The 1441-nt window shown below is 52.0% G+C and overlaps 1 annotated feature.

Annotated features, from left to right (window-relative positions):
* Positions 930 to 1163: a silencer, noted in NCBI's record as "fragment chr8:53764919-53765152 (GRCh37/hg19 assembly coordinates)". NCBI's record gives its function as "represses an EF-1alpha promoter that drives an FKBP-Casp9 reporter gene in an ReSE screen in K562 erythroleukemia cells {active_cell/tissue: K562}" and the evidence as "EXISTENCE:reporter gene assay evidence [ECO:0000049][PMID:32094911]".

Raw genomic sequence — 1441 nt, 5'->3', positions numbered from 1 at the left:
GCCTCCCTGACTCAGCCACCAGATTCTGCAGCCTCCTCAATGCCCAAGTCTTTGACCCAGTGAAAGCACATTTCCAAGCAAACTAGTTGCTCTGTTCTCCACCGTGACATATCATAAACTTGAGTCACGCATTATATCCTTGAATTTCTCCCTCAGCTGCATATTAGTAGGAGTTGTAGTAGTAATATTATTATTTCCACCAATAAAAATAACAGCCATCATTGACTGAGGTTAATCAAGCACTCTGCATGTTCTGAGGACTCTTGCCCCACATCAGTAGTCGTAATAGTGACAATTATCTATGCAGTACCCATTTGATGCAGGTGTTTTACCCGTGGCATCTTTTCTAATCCTCAAAACAATTTTATGAGGTAGATATTGTTATCCCTATCTTACAGGTTAAGAAACACCAGCTGTTGCTGGCGAGATGGCCAAATAGGAACAGCTCCAGTCTGCAGCTCCCAGGGAAATCAATGCAGAAGGCGGGTGATTCCTGCATTTCCAACTGAGGTACCCAGTTCATCTCAATGGGACTGGTTGGAGAGTGGGTGCAGCCCAAGGAGGGCGAGCCAAAGCAGGGTGGGGCAGCCCGTCACCTGGGAAGCTCAAGGGACTGGGGAACTCCCTCTCCCAGCCAAGGGAAGCCATTAGGGACTGTACCGTGCACTCCAACCCAGATACTGCACTTTTACCACGGTCTTCACAACCTGCAGACCAGGAGATTCCTTCCGTGCCTACACCACCAGGGCCCTGGGTTTCCAGCACAAAACTGGGCAGCTGTTTGAGCAGACACCGAGCTAGCTGCAGGAGTTTTTTTCATACCTCAGTGGCACCTGGAACCAGTGAGACAGAACCGTTCACTCCCCTGAAGGGGGGCTGAAGCCAGGGAGCCAAGTAGTCTGGCTTGGTGGGTCCCACCCCCACGGAGCCCAGCAAACTAAGACCCATTGGCTTGAAATTCTAATGCCAGCATAGCAGTCTGAGGTCAACCTGGGATGCTCGAGCTTGGTGGGGAGAGGGACATCTGCCGTTACTGAGGCTTGAGTAGGCGGTTTCACCCTCACAGTGTAAACAAAGCCAAGGGAAGTTCGAACTGGGTGGAGCCCAGCCCTGCTCAGCAAGGCCCCTGTGCCCAGATTGTCTCCTCTCTGAGCAGGACATCTCTGAAAAAAAGGCAGCAGCCCCAGTCAGGGATTTATAGATAAAACCCCCGCCTCCCTGGGACAGAACACCTTGTGGAAGGGGCAGCTGTGGGTGCAGCTTCAGCAGACTTAAACGTCCCTGCCTGGCAGCTCTGAAGAGAGCAGCAGATCTACCAGCACAGTGTTCGAGCTCTGATAAGGGACAGACTGCCTCCTGAAGTGGGTCTCTGACCCCCATGTATCCTGACTAGGAGACACCTCCCAGTAGGGGCCGACAGACACTTCATACAGGAGAGCTC

This window comes from Homo sapiens, chromosome 8 (genome assembly GCF_000001405.40).
Source record: "Homo sapiens chromosome 8, GRCh38.p14 Primary Assembly".
Lineage (NCBI taxonomy): Eukaryota > Metazoa > Chordata > Mammalia > Primates > Hominidae > Homo > Homo sapiens.
The sequence above is the reverse complement of the archived record's forward strand: the minus strand, read 5'-3'. Positions and strand labels throughout refer to the sequence as shown.